This window comes from Homo sapiens, chromosome 1, assembly GCF_000001405.40.
Source record: "Homo sapiens chromosome 1, GRCh38.p14 Primary Assembly".
Lineage (NCBI taxonomy): Eukaryota > Metazoa > Chordata > Mammalia > Primates > Hominidae > Homo > Homo sapiens.
This window is the reverse complement of record NC_000001.11, coordinates 121,352,625-121,373,627: the sequence shown is the minus strand read 5'-3', so window position 1 is coordinate 121,373,627 and position 21,003 is coordinate 121,352,625. Positions and strand designations below refer to the sequence as shown.

The following is a 21,003-nucleotide window of genomic DNA, read 5'->3' as shown; positions in this document are numbered from 1 at the left end:
ATGGGAAACAACACCACCACTCTCAGGCCCCAAGGGCAAAGCCTTTCTGGGCTGGTCAGGAACCCCGAAGAGGGCAGTGCAGCCTATGGAGTAGCCTATGCTTTCTGTTACCTTTCAGATATAAAATAGGGAAGAGGAAAAGCTTCCAAAAGCTCCTTTTACCGGCCTGGCATTCTGGGGATCTGTCTGTTCTGCTTTATCCAGATCAAACACCCTCTCACAGCAACTAAAGCAGCAGCAGCAATTGCAATGCCAGTTATCATTTACTGAGCACTTAGTATATTCCTGGCTTTATGCCAAGTACCACACAACACATTTTCTCATTTCATCCTTAGGACAATTCCACAATCTAGACAACAACCCTATGAAGACTGTAAGCCTTCAAAACAATTCAGGTAAGAGTCTGGGAAGGAATAAAATCCATATCAAGTATAACTGGAATTGCCACAGGAGGGAAGTAGTATAAAAGGTGAAGGATGATTTTCCATCAAAGCAACCATCTAGGAGTCCAATCCTTTCTCTTAACAGGGAAGCCAGGAAGCCTAGAACTCAAGCTTGTTTCCAATCCTACTAAACATACTACTTCCAGCCACCTAGTGCCTGCTCTACTCTGTGGGAACTTTCTGTTTCCACACAGGGAGTTCACGAGTGCTGAAAGTGTGATGCCATAAGATTTCTTTGAGAGGGATAATTAGAGAGTAGAAGTTGGGTGTGTGTGTGCATGTGTGTGTGTGTGTGTGTGTGTGTGCATGTGTGTGTGTAACACAGGAGTGCAAAGGTACAATATTATTAATATCTACCACTTAATAAACATTGTGTACCATGGGCTTTACGTACATTACCTCATTTAATTCTTACAATAACTCTGTGAAAGACACTGTTATTATTTCTATTTCTAAAGATAAGGAAATAAGGCTCAGAGAGATTAACTATCATACCCAAGGTCATACAATGAGTAAATGGTGGAATCAGGATTCAAACCCAGGTCTGTCAGACTCCAAAGACCACATTCTTAGCCATTAAGCAACACCGACTCTCCTCTGGATAGGACTGGAGCTGAACTGGTTGGGAGGAAAGGTTAAATATGGTCAAGATATTCCTGAAAAGAGAAACTGGTTCCATGTATGAACCTGAGTTAGAGAAGTGTCTCAACCTGGGGCTATTTTGGCCCCCAGGGGAAATGTGGCAGTGTCTGGAAATATTTTTGATTGTCACAACTTGGGGATTGCTACTGGCATCTAGTAGTTAGAGGTCAGGGATGCTGCTGAACATCCCATGCACAGGACAGCCCCCACAACAATTAATTATCTGGCCCAAATGTCAATGGTGCTGACGTTGAGAAAATCTAGCTTAGAAAGACTTTGTGGGTATACTAATCTAGGCCCTACGATCAGCTAGAGGCAGACGAAAGAATAAAGAATACTGGGACACTGACAAAATCAAAGTACATTAGAGTCTAAATTATGTCTCATTTTGAATGCAGAATGTTTTAAATCAGTTTCACCTCATTCTGAACCTAACACTACTTCCCGTAAATTTTACCAGGATAATACTCTTCATATTTTCTATACAGAAGAAAAAATACTTAACAACTAATGGTGTTTAAAAGCCTTTCTAAGTAATTCAAACAGACCCCCAGCTTTCCAGGTTAACTAAGAAGTGGAAAAGAGGCATCTGTTATCTCAGCTGAAGAAGTGTAGATAGGAGGCTCCTCTTTTTTTTCTCTTTTTTCACCTGAATCTGACCATGGGATTCAAAAGCTTAGTGAGAAGTTACAAAAGTGAGTGCTTTTTTTCTTTTTTAAAGTGATTTCCTATTTCATGAAGGTGCATGATAAAGAGAAAACGTTATGAATAAACATGAGATAAAAAAGAGGTCAAAGAATAGCGCTACCAAGTCAACAAATGAAGTAACAAAAATCAACAATTTACAATGTTACTTTCCCCTAAAAAACTTAAAGAACTTTCTTGTTAAAAGAGAGTAAAACGCTACTTTGCCTAAGAAACTATACATTCTTCACGCTAAGCTCTACTTCTTTTGTGTTTTCTTCTCACAGTGGAGAAATATGTCATATACACAATGGTAGTTTTACAAAGTGGTTGCCCAAATGACTGAATGACACTGAATCTCTCTTCTGGGTAAATACTGGAGAAGCTTTATTAGTGCCTTCCAGCTCAAGAGAAAACTGAGGTACCTAGAAGCTGAAGCTTAAATAAGTGATGCCAAAACAATTGAAAAAATAGGAAAGTCAAGACAGGACTTAGAAATGTATATAGATACAGATATACATGTTAAATATATATTTATAAATATATATTTATAGTCAAGATAGGACTTAGAGAAAGCCAAGATAGGACTTAGATATATATATCTATGTACATATACATATGTAAATATATGTATATCTATATATCTATGTCTTAGACATATAGCTACTCATATATGTATATATAGATATGTATACATAAAGATATACATATACATACTTCTATCTATATATAGATAGGCAAATGCAAACTATGGGGAAAAACTGAAAAGTCTAAATTCTCAGTTCTGCAAAGAATATTCCACTTTACTTTGAAAAACTAAACACTGAAATCACATATTTAGCTCTGCTCCCTCTGACAGCCACACTAAAATAATAGGAAAAAAAAGGTTCTAAAATGATTATCATTTAGGTATAAATTGAGAAAAACAAAAAGAATGGAAGCTGAAGCCGAAAAGCAGGTAGGCAAGCAGTAACTCATCTACTTGAGTCCTAAACCAAAACTAGAGTGAGCCAGGAAGCAGCCAGATTTATATCACAGAAGCCCGAAGAGAAATAAGTAGCAGTGGGATGAAGGTAGAGCTAAACACAAAATAAGCTATTGAAAGTCTGAGAACAGGCCGGGCATGGTGGCTCATGCCTGTAATCCCAGCACTTTGGGAGGCCCAGGTGGGCGGATTACGAGGTCAGGAGATTGAGACCATCCTGGTTAACACAATGAAACCCCGTCTCTACTAAAAATACAAAAATAAATTAACTGGGCGTGGTGGCGGGTGCCTGTAGTCCCAGCTACTCGGGAGGCTGAGGCAGGAGAATGGCATGAACCTGGGAGGTGGAGCTTGCAGTGAGCCGAGATCACGCCACTGCACTCCAGCCTGGGCAACAGAGCGAGACTCCATCTCAAAAAAAAAAAAAAAAAAAAGGAAGTCTGAGAACAGTGAGGCCCCAAGATCCCCTCTCCCATTGTAGTGGAAGACTAGATGAGAGGTTTATTCTGTTAGAGAGGGTCCATGGACTAGGGGATACAAGGTTCAGCTGAGGATAGGGGTATACTGAACTTCAACAGGAGGATTAGCTGAAGTCTATGTTAAATTTTGAGATGGTCTAGGCCTCTTCACAACTCAGCTCCCAGACATGAGTGGGAGATCAAAAGTGTGATCTCTCGGCAATGTGACCATCCAAGATAAGAGACCTAGAAATACTAAAGTTGGGGCTTCCACAAGGACACAGCCCAGTTAGAACACCCTACTGTGAAGGCCACAGCTGACATAGAATCTTTTAGTGCCTCACTTTAAAATGTGAATAGGCAGCTAAGAATGACCACGCATTTAAAGGAAATGTCTAATATGAAAGACCAAGACCAAAACTAGCAATTTAGAAGAAATATTATACAACAAGAAGAAAAGTTTGAAAACAATATATCCATAATAGCCCTGGAGAGATAAATGAGAAATAAAACGATACTGCATCATGAAACAAAAGTTGGATGCAACAAAAAAGGGAACATGTAGAGAACAAGAAAAGAGTTCTTGGCAATAAAGATTCAATTCAAGTATCTCTTCAAGGAGCCTGACTTCATCCCTGTCCTCTGTGCAGACATGTAAATGAGTTCTTGTCACTTCATTTTTCACTTGATGCTTTACTTTTCTGTCTCTCCCTATTAAAACTAAACGCCTTGAGGTCAGAAACATCTCTTATTTGTTCTTGTCTCCCTAGTGCCTAGTGCCAGAGTCAAATAGGCAAGCAGAGTTGAGGGACTATTAAGTGCCATTGTTTCAAGGGAACAGGTGCTAAATACCAGTCTGAAGTAGCTCTGCCAGCACACAGCCGCTGCTCCAAGCCAAGGGGATGTAAACTTAGGGGGAGTACAGAAGCATAAGGCCTCTGGAATAACAACAGCCCCAAAGTGTCCCAAAGCCTCTTTTTTCTCAATTCTAGAGCTTCCTTGACTCTTCATACTCAGCCAATCCACACTGGCTTCAGTGCCTCCATGTACACTCCTTCCTGTGGGGGTTTGCTGGGTTTTTCCAGACACGACCTCTGAGTACAACTGAGGCAAAGAATCCCAGAGTTCTTTGGGAAGCAGTGTGTTCTGACTTCAAAGGCATTCCCGGTGCATCAGTCAGAAAATGAAAACCACTTATGCCATGGCTTACATACAAGCCAGCTCATTATGGGGGGAAAACACGTGGAGAAGAATGCTCGCTAGGATTGCTCTCTGAATAGCAGCTGTGGGAAGCAGGCCCCAGCACAGAATGCCAAGTCAGGGAAATCAAAGGCCCTTCAGGCAGAAAAGAGGAAGGTGCAGAGGGGCAGCTGGCCACTCATGGCGGCATTCTGGGCCCGGTGCCCAAAGGCATCTTTATTTGGGAACACCTGGGTCCTGCTCCTTGGATCATCAAGGTTCAAAGGTACTAAAATTACCAACCCTTGGATAACTAGTCCCCTAAAAAAAGGTATTCATGGGCATTAGGAGCAGATGTGAAGGACATGAAAAAACTGGGTGGGTTTCTTATATCCTTGGTTTCCTTTTTCCAGTGACCCCAAATAACTTCTATTGCCTACAACGTCATTGAAATGAGAGGCCCTTCCCTGCCTTCCTGACAAGCAAATAATGGGAAAGCTCCTTCTAAGAAACTCTCCCTTGTTCTCTTCTTGACTCCTCAAAGGTGTGCATACAGCAAGCAGCTTCCCAAAGCTAGCATGTAACAGTCCCAGCTTCCCACCTGATAAAACCACTCTCCCATGCAAGGTGACCAATTAACCCTTTTTAACCTCGAACTTTTCCAGTTTCAGCACTGACAATTTCATGTCCCAGGAAACTCTTCAGTACTAGGCAAAGAGGGACAGTTAGTCACCGTAATCCCATGGTGCCTTATTCAGACCAGTCCTAAACCTATCTTAATCTCCAGAAGAAATAATTCTATTCTCTGAACTGCTATTTTTTTTTTTTTTTTGAGACAGAGTCTTGCTCTGTCCCCCAGGCTGGAGTGCAGTGGCACGATCTTGGCTCACTGCAAGCTCTGCCTCCTGGGTTCATGCCATTCTCCTGCCTCAGCCTCCTGAGTAGCTGGGACTATAGGCGCCCACCACCATGCCCGGCTAGTTTTTAATATATTTTTAGTAGAGATGGGTTTTCACCGTGTCAGCCAGGATGGTCTCGATCTCCTGACCTCATGATCCGCCCACCTCAGCCTCCCAAAGTGCTGGGATTACGGGCATGAGCCACTGTGACCGGCTATTCTCTGAACTTTCTCTTTTTTTCCTTTTTCTTTTTTTTTTTTTTGAGACAGAGTCTCGCTCTGTTGCCCAGGCTGGAGTGCAGTGGCACAATCTCGGCTCACTGCAAGCTCTGCCTCCCAGGTTCACGCCATTCTCCTGCCTCAGCCTCCCCAGTAGCTGGGACGACAGGCACCCGCCACCATGCCCAGCTAATTTTTTTTGTATTTTTAGTAGAGACAGAGTTTCACCGTGTTAGCCAGGATGGTCTCGATCTCCTGACCTCGTGATCTGCCTGCCTCAGCCTCCCAAAGTGCTGGGATTACAGGCATGAGCCTGGCTCACTGAACTTTCTAATGGCCTACAGACTCTGGAAACCTATTTGATCCTTAGCTATAGCCTAATATTTCAGGAAGTATAACTCACCCAACTACTCCACCCCCTAGGATATAGAAATACCAGTGCATGGAGTGTATGCAGACACCAAGGTCATAGAGGTTTGGGGTATCCCTCAAGCTCATACAGCTAGTAGTCAAGACAGGGTAGAATCTAGGCTGCTTAATTCAGGAGACTCTAGTCACTAGACCAGCATTTCTCAATCTTGTGGGTCAGAAGATTGTCAATGTCTCTATATTGACATTGTGGGTCAGATAATTCTTTGTTGTGGGAGCTGCCCTGTGCACTGTAGGATTTTAGCAGCACCCCTGGCCTCTAGATCATTAGATGTCAGCAGCACCTTCTACTCCTCCAGTCGTGACAATCAAAAATGTCTTCAGGCATTGCCAAATGTCCTCTCGGGGTAAAACTCCCTCTGCTTAAAACTCCATTTGGACCAGAATGTTTTGACTTCTCTGAAACTTCCTAGTGCCTCTACTCTTTTTTCCCTCTTTCCATTGCCTACTAGAGGAAAACATCACATTTTAATTTTGGCCTTTAACAGATTATGAAGGTGTATTCCAGCTCACCTTATGGCAGGGGATACCACACTCAGGCAATTCTCAGTTTGAACATCAATGGGAAGATGTTATGCTGTATGTTGACCATGGCCTCACAATGGCCAGTAAAGTAGTTGGCCAATATTGGGCTGTCTTAAGTCTGCAGTCAGAGGTAGCAGCTCGGCCCTCTGCAGACCAGAGAAATAAGTTCCAAGGTTTTCTTCCTCACTCAAACACAGCTTACGCCCTTTCACTTATTTTTTTTTTTAAAGCACAGCATATGAAGAGACATAGGACCCTGGGTAAAAGCTAACAGATCCTTAGACAGTAGTCTTCTTCTGCTGCCTTGAGTCCCACTGAAGAAGTGGCAAGGTTTGTTGGTTATCCAAACTACCCCTCCCCAGAAACAGCTGCAAATAGTAGAGGGTCAAGATGCTTACAGGAAAATAAAAGAATTTATACAATGACTACATGTGTCATTTTCTATCTTAGGGAATTCTCTGCTAGGAGAAAGGAGTAATAGCTCTTCTTGGCACTTAGAAATTGATCTAAAAGAGCAGAAGTAAAGCATTAAAAAGACAAGGTTCAGGAAACCCATCCAGTCTGAAAATGGCTCACATCGATGTGTTTCTATTTTAAAAACCTCTTAACTTCATTTGAGAGAAATGAAAACTTGGGAGTTGAACGAAAGGTACCATCTATCTATGCTTGGCTTCAGAGCAGAAGTGTCACAGAGTAGAAATTCAAAACAAACTGAACATCGCTGGAGATAAGTCAGATGACTACTCTACCCTATTTACTTGCTTAACAGTTGCCATGACAAAATGGCCACACCTAGGCTTCTGGATCAGCAACATCTGATCCCAAATGCCTGTCATGCATGTCATCACTGCCTGTTCTGTGAATTAAAAAAAAAAACAAAGGAAGAAAAGAAAAGAAAAAACGCAGCAAATAAGCAAGTAAACATCAGAAATCAGTATCACCTTCAAACAGGATGGAGAAACCCTGGAGAATGACATAGTAGGCTGGCACATCCAAGCTGGAGAAGGGGCCCCTGAAAGGCATTAGCTGTATAACTTAAGTATTCCCTGTATAACAACAGGAATTTCCTTGGTGTGTATGTGTGTGAGTGTGTGTTTGTTTTCATTATAATTAGAAAAACATGGCTGGGGAACAACCACCACCACCACCTCTCTGCGCATGAATTAACACGCACCAGCCACAGGCATCATGTGCCTGAAGCGCCAGTCATCTCAGAACAGATTGTGTTCTCTTCTTCAAGCCCGCAGCCTGCCTCGTCACTGAGGTTTGGCTTTATAAAACTCCAGGAAGCCAGTGCAAAGCTCTCTCTGCTCAAACTGGTCCCTCTTACTGGGGGCATTTAGGACTCTGTGCTGCCCTCCAGAGCATTTGTTCTAGTCTCAAAGCCATACATCAATCCAAGATCTGATGAAAAACCTAGAACAATAAAGCCTTTCCGACAGGCACATATTAATAGTGCAATGCAGGCTACGTTCCTTGCCATTAGTTCAGGGTCCCTGGTTTGCTGCTAACGGGGTCCATTGTGCCAATGACCTAGACTTTGGCTGGTCTCTAGTAACTATGCCCCAAATAAAGCCAGGGTGAGCTTGCATAGCTGAGGAGAAAACTTATTTTGAGGAAGTATTTTTTGACTCATTCCGTTTTGAAAAGACGAGTGTGAAAAAAGAGATGGGTGGGGTCACCCCCAGTGGGGACCATGCACTTGTCCTTCAACCTCAGTTCAGTTCTGTTGCTGATGTACTATGGCTGCAAGCTGCCAAATGCTGCTTCCCTCTGCTTGTTAAAGAGCCAAGCAACCCATCTGATTTACCGAGTAGAGCTCGTTCAGGACCTTCATCAAATCATCTTGGAGCTGCTGGCCGACTTCTTTACTCTGCAAGGAAAGAGGAATGAAGGTTAATTGGGAAACAGAAGAGAGAGGAGGGAGCAACGAAGGCAAAAGCCACACTGGCTCTACAAATAACCCAGACTCAATTAAGGCCCATTATTTAACCCAGCAAATCAGATAACCACTCCAATCAGACCCAATTATGGTCAGATTACTCAAAGAGTTTTAATAAAATGAAATGTGCCTAGCAAAGGCAATTGCGTAGAGGGAAAAAGGGTGGTAGCCTTTGGTTTTTCTATTGGTCCCCAAAGAGCAGGCCTGAAAGCCACATCCTACCTAGCAACTGTTGTTAGGTGGAACATGGTTTCTCAGATACTTGCAGTCAAGCATTCCAGAAGATTTCAAAGGAAAGTAAGATGTGTAATGGGATGAAATAGGAAAAAGTATATAAACATTCAGGGACTTCAAAGTCCCTAACTAAATAGAAAACTCCAAGCAGGATGGAACTATATTTCTTACTTGCTTTATTTCTACCCAAAACTCACAAGGCAGCGGTATCTCAATATTGACTGCCTGCGAGATTAGCTGTTACTAGATGCTGAAAATATATGTTAAGGGGTCTCCAACTAGTTAATCTTGAGCAGTGATGGCTCCTGGGTTCTTTGCTGCTGCCACCCAGGGCTGACATCTAACTACATAGAGCAGTAGAAATAAAGAATGAGGGCTGGGCACGGTGGCTCACACCTGTAATCCCAGCACTTTGAGAGGCCGAGGTGGGTGGATCAGCTGAGGTCAGGAATTCGAGACCAGCATGGCCAACATAGTGAAACCCCATCTCTACTAAAAATACAAAAATTAGCCGGGCCTGATGGCACACGCCTGTAGTCCCAGCTACTCAGGAGGCTGAGGCAGGAGAATTGCTTGAACCCAGAAGGTGGAGGTTGCAGTGAGCCGAGATTGCACCATTGCACTCCAGCCTGGGTGACAAGAGTGAGACTCTGTCTCAAAAAAAAGAAAAGAAAAGAAAAGGAAAGAAAGGAGGAAGCAGGAAGGAAATTGTCACACCTTCTATACTAAGTGTTGTATGCCAAACCTAAGAGAGCTAAAACTGATTGGCAGCATGGGTCATTGAGAGGGAAAGCCCTTGTTTTATCTTTTGCCAGCTCCTTCTAGATCTTTCCTACCAGAAATTCGGGTATCAAAATGCCATCCTAACAGAAGTTATAATACTGTTTCCCATCCCTCCCACCATAGCTGCTAGCTCCCAGGCAAAAAAAGGAAGGACTTTCATGTCAGATACACAATCATTTAAGATCTTGCTTTTTTTCAAGGTACATACATCTCTACTTAAAAAATACTTTTTTTTCTGATTACAAAAGTAATGTATATTTATTATAATAAGGAAACTAGAAAACCTCAAAAAAGAAAACAAAAGTAACTCTTAAATTCCTACCACTAAGAAATCACCACTCTAAGTGTTGTTATGTATTTTTCTAATCTTTTCTAGTTTTACAAAATTGGGATTGCATTATAAATCCTGTTTTGTAACTTATTCACTTAAACATATGTTGTAAACATTTCCACATGTATTATTGTTCTATAGCATTATAATATGTTCTATTGATGTAGCTCCCATTCTTGGACATTTACTTCACTTCTAAATTTTTGTGATAAAAAATGCCATATCACATTACTTTGTATATGATCTAATGCACACACCTTTCATTATTTTTTCCTAGAAATAACATTGCTGGGTCAAAGACTACCATTTATACCACTAAAATGCCTTTGAGAAAAACGGTACCAATTTAAAATACCACCAATAGCATATATGAATGTTTATTTCACATTTTTTTGTCTTGACAATTTGATGTGGTATCCTATTGTAATTTGCAATCCTTTGATTCTAATGAGCCTGAGCATTTTTAAAAATGTTTATCAGTCATTTTCATTTTTCTTTTATAATCTGCCATTTTCTTATTAAGGTGTTCTCTGCCCATTTTTCTATTAAGGTATTCATTATGGAATATAACCTATGTGTGGCCTCTGTCATGAGTAAGCATGAATTTTTACATCTGATAGTGGGGAAAGGGGTGGAAGGAGCCCTAAATTAGCAATCACAAGATTCTCTTTCTATTCCTGGCTCCTGCATTACCAAAGAGGTAACTCTGGACAACCTGGTTAACCTCTCTGGCCCTCTGTTTTCCCTTCTATAAAATGAAAAGCTTCTGCTAAAACATTTCTAAAGTCTTTTCCAACCTCTGCCATTCTATGATTCTACATGATCTTCTGCCTGGCTTCTAGAGTCCATATTAGCTTCAAACATCCCTCCCTTTAGTGTATGGCTGGTTGGCTAGAAGATAATGAGCAAGTTCTCCTCGGGGACCCAGATGCTCTACAAAATGGACGGGTTCAGGGGATCTTGCCAGTCTTAAATTTATCATTCCAGGGTCTCTCATCCAATGACCTCAACTGCTGGAAGAAGCCACAAGAGGGAATGCCTTTCATCTGTGATCTCACATACCAGCCTGTCCTTTCCATTGAGAGGAAAGCTGAGCTCCACTGAAGCAACAGAGGCCCAAGGAGGTGAAGTGAGGCAACATGACTCACTCTGAGCCCCAGAGTCAGCAACAGGGTCAGGAAGTGACCATGAGTATCACTTCCCACCGCCCTGCCCTCCTGCCTCTGGGCCATCTCCTCCTGCCAGCCTATCGTTTCTTAACTCCTCCTTATGTTTGAATGGCAGAGGTTAAAGGAGAAAGCTCCTATTCCTCTACCCTGTTGCTTACCCATGACTTAAATAACCTAGCCCCAGAGTGGGGGATGGGGGAAGAAGAGGAGGGAAAAGTGTAACCAAAAAAAACAGCAATTAAGCCCAGGCAGATGTTTCCTTTCACGTACTGATTAGTTGGGAGGACCACTCAACTATTATCCCTGTTTATTTGAACAGGCTGCTGAAGTGATCTGACTTACTGCTCCCTCTGGCTGAGGGTTGGGCTGGGAATACATGTGTAGCGAGCCCACTTAAAATGTGCAATACAGCCTCTAGCAATCAGGAGAAATTCTGACACTAGGCCAGAGGCAGGAAATTGCCAGTGTCTCTCCTTTCACAGATGATAAAAGGCCATTCGTTCTCTGTTTCAGAAACCTTAACTGTGTGCCTTTGGGGGAAAGCGTGGCCCCAGGAAGGGCTTCCGTGCTGGCCACTGCAGTGGGGTTGACAGAGCTGGTAAGCCACAAGGGGGCCCCACCCAAAGACAAGGGGGACATTTATTCCTGGGAACAACAAAACCTGATGAGGCCGAGTACATGACAATGAAGACTGTAGAGCTTTTCCGTTCTCTATAAAAAGGCAAGGGGTTTCTAGACAGGGAAGAAAAAGAATTTACAGAGCAGTCTTTGTGTACTAACATACAGCCTGCATCTCTTTTCTTTAAAATTTCTTGGAAGAGAATGAGTCATCTCAACATTGCAGGAAACCAAATAGAAGTTGGGGGAAAAAATTACTTTGGACAAAGTTTTTCTCTTAAATGTTTGCATAGTAATCTTTGCCTGGAAAAAAAAAAAGATGCCTAAATTTAGAATAGAGATGTGGTACAGTTAACAATTCTGGTTCTATCGGATGGGAAGTGTGATGGTGTGCTCAGGCTGGGATCTCTTATTTTGAAACTCACCACAACCATTTGGCCAGAGTGCTTCACTGGCCTCCACTCTGACTGCTGCCGAGGGGCTGATCAGAAGACAATGAGATTGCAACAGCTTCTACCAGTTGTATGCTGACAAAATGGGTAGGAAAGCTTCCTTTTTCCAACAGATAACAGCATTGGAAACAGAACTGAAATGCACTGTGTCATCTCATCTCCCCAAGACAAGACTGTAATGTTCCAAAGCCTCCTTGCTCACAGAAAGGATGTAACAGCAGATATGTACGGAAACATAAGGATCCTAGGCATCCGGGATGCCTGGCCACTGGTCTGGTCACTCTTCCTTAGACCTCTTTAAATCAGTACATTTCCTGAGCTTGGATGGGTTTGTCTATTAGTGTTTCCCAAAGAACACCAATTATGAAAGAGGTTTCAGACCTGTTCTCAATAGGGAGGTTACTTGTTACCGATTCTCTAGTTATTTAGATCAGCACTCATGTGCTTTCCAAGTTGGGGGTGGGACTGTTGTTAATTGGTTATCTACATTTCAAAGCTGTATTTTTTGACAGGCACAAAAGTACCCCCTATTTGTAAGAAAGAAGAATAAAAAGAGGAAGGCATGTCTCTGCCATGTGGCGAGAGCTCATTTCAGCCCCATCCCAAGGCTGAGCCTGTCAGCAGGTAGGAACAGTAGGGCCATTTAGTTCTCTGCCATTTAGCCTGTGTCAGCAGTTTTCCAAAAAAGAATCCAGTTTTCAAGGGCACATATCTCCCCAACAACCACTACTATCCCCTCCCCACCCTAAAGATTGTTCAGAGACCAACTGTTAAAAAAAAATCCAGTTTAAAACTGAATTTATGTTACAGATTTCAGAGGAAAGGAACATGACCCTGTATTAAGCTCTGGCAGCAGAAGCACCACCATACATAAGGTGGTGGTTTCAGGGGCATTCACTAACCACTTCAAAGAGGCCACATTTCAGGAGCTGGCACTTTGCCTGAAATGCTTTTGGTGGGGAGGAGAGGGCTAAAAGGAATGACTGTTTGGTAGCAGGGCCAGTGCTAGGTGATGGTGGGCACTGTGTCTGGTCCTCTCTCTCAGCTAACTTGGGCCACCAAAATAGGTGGTACAGTGTGAGGCTGTATGCCGAGGCTCTGGGGGTTCAGGGGGTGATGATCCAGCAGGTCAGAGCTCAGAAATGACTTCTAGATTTCCCCTCCACCATACTACCTGCATATATGCAAGCAGGGCTCTTTCTATTCAGCATTCATTCATCGGTGAGGATACCATGAGACGGCTCTGAGAAAGACTGAACTCCAGTTAGGACCTTAAACTATGAGAAGCCCAAGGATGTATAAAACACAAATATACTTAATTGCAAAACTTTTATAGAGAGGTAGGCTAGGAGATACCACAACAGGGACACCAGAGGTGCTTTTGCCTTCTGAAGATAGGTAGACTAGGATGTTCAAAAAATACATTTTTTATTGCAATACAGCATAATAGGTGTCTATAATAAAAGTACTTATGTGTCCGGAGTTGGTTCCTTCTGGTGGGTTCTTGGTCTCACTGACTTCAAGAATGAAGCTGTGGACCTTCGCGGTGAGTGTTACAGCTCTTAAGAGTGCTGATTGGTGCATTTACAATCCTTTAGCTAGACACAGAGCACTGATTGGTGCATTTTTACAGAGTGCTGATTGGTGCATTTACAATCCTTTAGCTAGACACAGAGCGCTGATTGGTGCATTTTTACAGAGTGCTGATTGGTGCATTTACAATCCTCTAGCTAGACAGAAAAGTTCTCCAAGTCCCCACTCCACTGAGGAAGTCCAGCTGGCTTCACCTCTACTTATGTGCTGTCCACTATGATATTTCCTATTCTTTTATCTTCTTTTTTTCTTTTCTTTCTTTCTTTTTAGATACAAGGTCTTGCTCTATTGCCCAGGCTAGAATGCAGTGGCCTGACCATAGCTCACTGCAGCCTTGAACTCTTGGGCTCAACTGTCACGTGATCCTCTTCCCTCAGCTTCCCATGTAGCTGGGACGACAGATGTGTACCAACACGCTGGTTAATTTTTGTAATTTTTGTAGAGATGGGATCTCACTGAGTTTGCTCAGGCTGGTCTCAAACTCCTGGCTTCAAACAATCCTCCTGCCTCAGCTTCCCAAGTAGCTGGTAACAGGTATGCTTGGCTAATTTTTAAAAAAATTGTTTTCAGATATGGAGTCTCGTGATGTTTCCCCAGGCTGGTCTCAAACTCCTGGCCTAAAGATCCCTCCACCTCAGCCTCTTAGAGTAGCTGGGATTATATTCTCGAGCGACTGTGCCTGGCCTTTTCTATTTTTTTATATTGGTCATAACTCACTACATTTATTTTACAACTCATTAATGAGTCATTATACACAGGTTTAAAAAGACTGGTTACATACAAAAGTCTGTACTTGAGGAATTAATAAAGAAAATAGTGGTTTAAGGACTGGAGCCCACTAACTTATTTAGACAGGAGCTAAAATAACTTGCCGTCTTGAAGTGGCTGATCAGATGTTTCAAAGCAGGTTCAATTATTGAATGCTGGCAAGGGAGAAATGGCTGGATTTTAGGGAGTGAGCAATAAAGAGTCCATCAGCAAATATTTATAGAACATCTATTAAGTGTCAGGCACTTGTGGTCTGAATGCAAAACAGAAAGTTTAAAAGTTTACAACCTGTTGAGAAAGATGGACATTAATCTAACGTCTGGGCCCATCAGAATGCAATTCTTCCAATCTCAAAGGTATTACTAGAAATGGAATATCTTAAGTTAGTTTTTTTAGTTTAAGATCAATTTTTTTTCCTGTCCCAGCCAAGAGGTTTCCACACCATAACCTAATTCCACAGCAAGCTAGATATTGAATCTAGCTTGCCAAAAAAAAAAAAAAAAAAATCTGATTTCAAAAAATCCAGCTATTACATAGTAAATTCTTTTTCTTTGGATTTGTCTTTCTAAGTTACTAATGGATATTTCAGGTTATAATGATCCAGCTTCAGTATTAGTGACTCCCAAAGCAGTCACATTCCATTTTTAAAGAACCCCTTGAGCTTGTAAGCACCATAAAAAACAATTTCACCAGAAGCTCCTTCACTCAGGAGTTAATGGATATAAACTATCCTAGTGACAAGTTATATTTTAAAAGAAAATGTCAGAAACTTGACTAGTCTAAGGCCCAATACCTGTTTCAGGATTCCTCTTCTGGAATATGAATAGTTTTTGAATTTGATTCCTGTTTAATTATCTGAAAAACTTAGTCTAAAAAAATCTCAAAGCAACTACAATATGAAACCATCTAAAGCTAATGGAAGAGATAGGTTTTACCTTTTTAAGCATTTTTCTGAATCCTCTGTGGTACCCAGCCCATTGCTTTGTGCACAGTGGCCATAAAATAATCAGTTGCTGAATCAATGAGATCAAAGTTTAAATACTATGCTTTCACATAATGACAAGAACTAAACAATATAGCTGCATTGCATCATATAAATTATTAAAAGTGGAAACTCCATCAGAGGTTAGCCACAATGAGCTCCCTTTGGTTATGGTTCACCAATGAGCCCTAAAAGTTGAAATGACTTTTCCAGGGTCAGTAGCCTATCAAGGACCACATGCAGTATTAAAAGAGAGCTGAACATGCAGGCTCTGGAGCAGGAATTGAATCCTACTTCTACTCCCCAATTGATGACCTTGGGTAAATTATATTTAAACCCTCTATGCTTCAGCTTCCACATCTGTAAAATAGGATAATAAGAATAGTGAGATAATCCACATAAAGTGCTTTAAACAGAATCTAGCACCTAGCCTGTTCAATAAATGTTGGCTAATATTAATATTAGAATCCAGCCCCCTCAACACTCACTTGAGTGTTCTTTCCGCTGCACTATGCTGCCTCCTTACGTACTCTCAAACATGTTAAAGATGCTATGTGGAATTGCGAAGGTCCTGGAAACTACTTCCCAGGCAGGATTGTAGCTGAATTCCTCCAATGGGCTCTGTGGGCCCGAAGGGAAGAACGTTCTCTGTTTTTCCTTATGCCTGCTGTTGCATAATCTTTTTCTTCCCCAGTTTCAGTAAGAACTAAATGACTCTGTAAGAAATAATTCAGCTTTCCTGAGGAAAGAAAACAAAAAAACAAAACTCCCAAAACAAAACAAAGAAAGATCATAAAAAGTGCTTAGCAGAAAGGAAGAAATGATGAAGGTAGGGGTGGCAGAATGAAAATAAGGAGGATACAATTACCTTCTATTCCTCCAGATAGATTAAACAGAAAAGATCCTTCTTGGCTGTACAACTAGGATATGGTTCGACTGTGGGCATAAAGGAAACATCCAAAGGAAGGAGCTCCCCACTACCTAGGTCACAGAATACCAAAACCACCCATCAAGTTCTGGTTCAGTGAAATCCAGGACCTCTCTCCTCTAGGACAGAAATGGCTTTCTGAAAGCCATTTCCTTACGGCTTTTCCAGAAGCTCTGGAATGTGTGAGCAGTAACACTTGATAACCCACAAGTAATGCTAGTGGCCCTGGGAGGAAATCCATTCCTTGGCATGATGTGAACTTCATGGACTCAGCTCCTACCCTCTGTGAATGCTCACTAACAAAGCTCACTTTGGTCCCTGACCAAAGTCTCTTGTCAGGGACAGGCATACTCGGGACAAGGGTGGGAGTTCAGGGGAGTTCAGGGTGGGGTCAGGAAGAGGCTAATGGCCCTCTGCTCTCCCAGTCTGAAACACAGTCCTATAATAATCTGAATGTTCTTCCATGGTTGTTCCAATCTCTTTGAATGACCTATCCTAATACTAAGAAAATAAACTCAAAACAACATCCCTTAAAACAGACAATCAAATCTAAGCTTTCATTTCTTAAACTACCACTGTGATCTTTGTCTTGGCAAATTTCCATCTTTTACCCTTTTGGATAATGATTTGGGTGGGGGCGTAATGTCTTCAGGCCCTGATCTCTCATGCCAAAGCATTTCTTGAGGTCATTCTGAAGATGAGTGATCACCCCATTTCCCAAGCAGGACACTAAAAGCACAGAGTAGAAATGGTATCTAGGTGACTGTGGGTATCCTTGAGTAGACTGGGACATAAGGGACAAAAGACACAAAAGCAAACAGGCAACACGAGAGCTCAAATCTCTCAGCAGCTGTAAAATGAACTAAGGAGGAAAAACAATCAATGGCTTGGAACTGGGAGAGAATCGGGGGAAAGAGCCAGAATGATAAGGTACTTGAAAACATATGCCCTTCTACAATAAGGAAATCTATGAGCTGGGGGATGGAAAGAATGCCTGTGTGGCTCCCAGATGGCTGAGCCAGGCGGAGGCTGGAAGAACAGGAGTTAATAGAGCTCATCTGAAAGTTGGAAGTGTGAATGCCAAGAGGAGGAGGGCAGCCTGGTAGGAAGTAAAACAGTCAGCAGCACTCGTACAGGAAATGCCTGGGGCACTGGGAAAATCGCTGATTAAATACTTTTAAGAAAGAGGAACCCAGCAGCAAAGCCAATTCATCGAGAGATCTGTGTAGTTTTAGAACACTGGGAGTAGCCTTTAGAATCGAGAGGAAGAGGCTCCAGTGAGTTATGAAGACAGCATTTTCTTGACACCTCAGGTGCCAGGGTTGGACCTAAGAGGAGCACAAAGCCAACTTTGGGAGAATGAGTAGAGCCCTTTACTGACAGAAATTAGAATGCATTGCCTAGGGACTGGGATGAAGATTTGAGCCTGTATCAGCTTTCTTCAGCTACAATGGTGGTTTGAAGCCTCTTGTCTTTGTCCACAGTAAACACATGGGTAGCCATTCCCATTAGTCATGGCCTACATACAGTTGAAAAAAGAAAAATCAATATTGTTGGGGGAGGATACCTTCCCTCTTGGCCAGTACCCCACTCCTACTGAAAAATCATGGAATTGTGAGAAAAAGAAGGTAGACTTTGGAAATGGAGATTTCCAATCTCCAGCTCTAATTTCTCCCCTAAGCTCTTCGATTTTTCCTCCCCATTTCAGGTTTAAACTTTGTAAATGTTCCACGTACACTTGAAAAGAATGTGTATCTGGCCGGGCGCGGTGGCTCACGCCTGTAATCCCAGCACTTTGGGAGGCCGAGGCGGGCGGATCACGAGGTCAGGAGATCGAGACCAAGGTGAAACCCCGTCTCTACTAAAAATACAAAAAAAAAGTTAGCCGGGCGTAGTGGCGGGCACCTGTAGTCCCAGCTATTCAGGAGGCTGAGGCAGGAGAATGGCGTGAACCCGGGAGGCAGAGCTTGCAGTGAGCCAAGATCGCGCCACTGCACTCCAGCCTGGGTGACAGAGCGAAACTCCGTCTCAAAAAAAAAAAAAAAAAAAAAAAAAAAAAAGAATGTGTATCTACCCGCAGTTGTCAGGCGCAGTATCCATATATGTCATTTAGGTCAAGTTTGTTGTATTTTTACTGACTTTTTTGGTCTAGTTGTTTAATCATTCACTGAGACAGGTGTGTTAAATCTCTCATTGGGGTGATGATTTATCTAGTTCCCATTTTAATTCTGTCCCATTTGATTTACATATTTTAAGCCTATGTTATTAAGTATATATTTCTTCCTGGAAACTTAGTCTTTACTAGGAAATGTCTCTCTCTCTTCTTTTTTGAGACAGAGTCTCGCTCTATCACCAGGCTGGAGTGCAGTGGCGCCATCTCGGCTCACTGCAACCTCCGCCTCCTGGGTTCAAGTGATTCCCCTGCCTCAGCCTCCCAAGTAGCTGGGACTACAGGTGTTCACCACCATGCCTGGATAATTTTTTGTATTTTAGTAAAGACAGAGTTTCACTATTTTGGCCGGGATGATCTCGAACTCCTGACCTCAAGTGATCTGCCTGCCTCGGCCTCCGAAAGTGCTGTGATTACAGGAGTGAGCCACCATGCCCAGCCTGGAAATGTCTCTCTTTATAACGAAAAATACTTTTTGCATTGAAATCTACCTGGACTGCCTGGGCACGGTGGCTCAGGCTTGTAATCCTAGCACCTTTTGAGGCCCAGGTGGGCAGATCACTTGAGGTCAGGAGTTTGAGACCAGCCTGGCTGACATGGTGAAACGCTGTCTCTACTAAAAATACAAAAATTAGCTGGGCATGGTGGCGCATGCCTGTAATCCCAGCTATCTGGGAGGCTGAGGCGGGAGAACTGCTTGAACCCAGGAGGCAGAGGTTGCAGTGAGCTGAGATTGCACTACTGCCCTCCAGCCTGGGTGACAGAGCAAGACTCAGAAAAAAAAAAAAAAAAAAAAAAAGAAAAAAAAAGGACAGAAAGAAAGAAGTGGGGGGGCAGAGAGAGAGAGAAAGAGAGAGAGAGAAAGAAAAGAAAGAAAGAAAGAAAGAAAGAAAGAAAGAAAGAAAGAAAGAAAGAAAGAAAGAAAGAAAGAAAGGAGAGAGAAAGAAAGAAAGGAATCTACCTGGCCTGATTTTATTGTAGCTATCTTTTCCTATCACTTTGCTTTAAATCTTTCTTTATCCTTATATTTAAAGTGTATCTGTTCTCTTACAAGCAACATACACTCTAGTTTTGCTTTTTAAAAATCTGTCTTTAATTTGCATAAGTCAATTTACACCTTATATTGTGGTTTAAACCCACCAACTTGCTAATTGCTTTCTATTTGTCCTGCCTCTTCTATTTTCCTCTTTCCTCTCCTTTCCTACCTTCTTTTTTTCTTCCATTTACAAAACATTCAGAAAATTCACTCTTGTTGGCATACAGTTCCATGTGCTTTGGCAAATGCACAGAGTTGTCTAACCATCACCACAATTAAGACACAGAACAGTTCCATCACCCACCAAAAACCTCTTGTATCCTGCACCTTTAGAGTCAAACTCTCCGCTACCCTTAACCACTGGAAGCCATTGATTTGTTCTGTATCTCTATAGTTTTGCCCTCCCCAGAATTTTTCTTTCCTTCTTTTGAGTTACTTTTTTATTAACTGAATTTGTCCCTTTCTTAGATTGGTACAATACTATTCTTTGAGTGGTTACCAAAAATTACAACATATATCCTTGAATTGCCAACACCTAATACAAATTACTACTTTTACCACTTTCTGAAAATATCTTTAAACCCATTTCCCTACCCCCACCCAGACACAGATTCTATTGTTGATTTCATTGTTGTCATTTATATTAATTTTATACATATTTAAAACCCCACAGGGTTGGCCTGGTGTGGTGGCTCATGCCTGTAACTGCAGCACTTTGGAAGGCCAAGGCAGGAAGATCACTTGAAGCCAGGAGTTCAAGACCAGGCTGGGCAACAGATAGACCCTCTCTTTACAAAAAATAAAAAATAAGCCAGGCATGGTGGCACACACCTCTTGTCCCAGCTGTTATACTTGGGACGCTGAGGTGGGAGGATCATTTGAGCCCAGGAGTTCAAGGCTGCAGTGAGCTATAATTGTGCCACCGCAGTCCAGGCTGGGCAGCAGAGCAAGACTCTGTCCCTCCCACCCACACATCTAAAAAAGGAAAACCCCACAGATGATTATTAGTGTTGTTTTTAACAGTGATTATTCACTTAGATCTATATTTTTTTTCTTTTTTCTTTTTTTTGGAGATGGAGTCTCACTCAGTTGCCCAGGCTGGAGTGTAGTGGCTTGATCTCGTTTCACTGCAAGCTCTGCCTCCCGGGTTCACGCCATTCTCCTGCCTCAGCCTCCCAAGTAGCTGGGACTACAGGTGCCCGCCACTATGCCTGGCTAATTTTTTTGTATTTTTAGTAGAGATGGGGTTTCACCATGTTATCCAGGATGGTCTCAATCTCCTGACCTCGTGATCTGCCCGTCTCGGCCTCCCAAAGTGCTGGGATTACAGGCATGAGCCACCGTGCCCGGCCAATCTATATTCTTATATATAGTTGCTGTTGCTCCTCATTCTTTACTGCATTTCTAAGATTCTATTTGGGATCATTTTCCTTCTGCCTAAATAATGCCATTTAGTATTTCTTTTAGTGCAAGTCTGCTGGCGATATATTTTCTCATATTTTTCTTGTCTGAAAACATCTTTAGTTCACCTTCAT

At 42.3% G+C, this 21,003-nt stretch overlaps 1 protein-coding gene and 1 long non-coding RNA gene across 3 annotated transcripts in view, besides 1 other annotated feature; one reads left to right on the top strand and one right to left on the bottom strand.

Moving 5' to 3' along the window:
* SRGAP2-AS1 (SRGAP2 antisense RNA 1) overlaps positions 1–13,472 on the top strand; it is a 37,750-nt gene extending 24,278 nt beyond the window's left edge. Inside the window, exons 3-4 of the long non-coding RNA NR_104189.1 lie at positions 10,740–10,876; positions 11,435–13,472. This is a non-coding gene — a long non-coding RNA (SRGAP2 antisense RNA 1). The remainder of the gene's footprint in view (positions 1–10,739; positions 10,877–11,434) is intronic.
* SRGAP2C (SLIT-ROBO Rho GTPase activating protein 2C) overlaps positions 1–21,003 on the bottom strand; it is a 207,900-nt gene that overhangs the window by 19,247 nt on the left and 167,650 nt on the right. For both annotated transcript variants that reach the window (NM_001329984.2, NM_001271872.3), the window contains exon 5: positions 8,273–8,335. In NM_001329984.2, the coding sequence (NP_001316913.1) occupies positions 8,273–8,335 (63 nt within the window). The remainder of the gene's footprint in view (positions 1–8,272; positions 8,336–21,003) is intronic.
* Positions 11,008–11,853: an enhancer, noted in NCBI's record as "OCT4-NANOG hESC enhancer chr1:121103636-121104481 (GRCh37/hg19 assembly coordinates)". NCBI's record gives its function as "activates a minimal SCP1, AML or CMV promoter by ChIP-STARR-seq in naive H9 embryonic stem cells {active_cell/tissue: H9 hESC(naive)}" and the evidence as "EXISTENCE:reporter gene assay evidence [ECO:0000049][PMID:30033119]".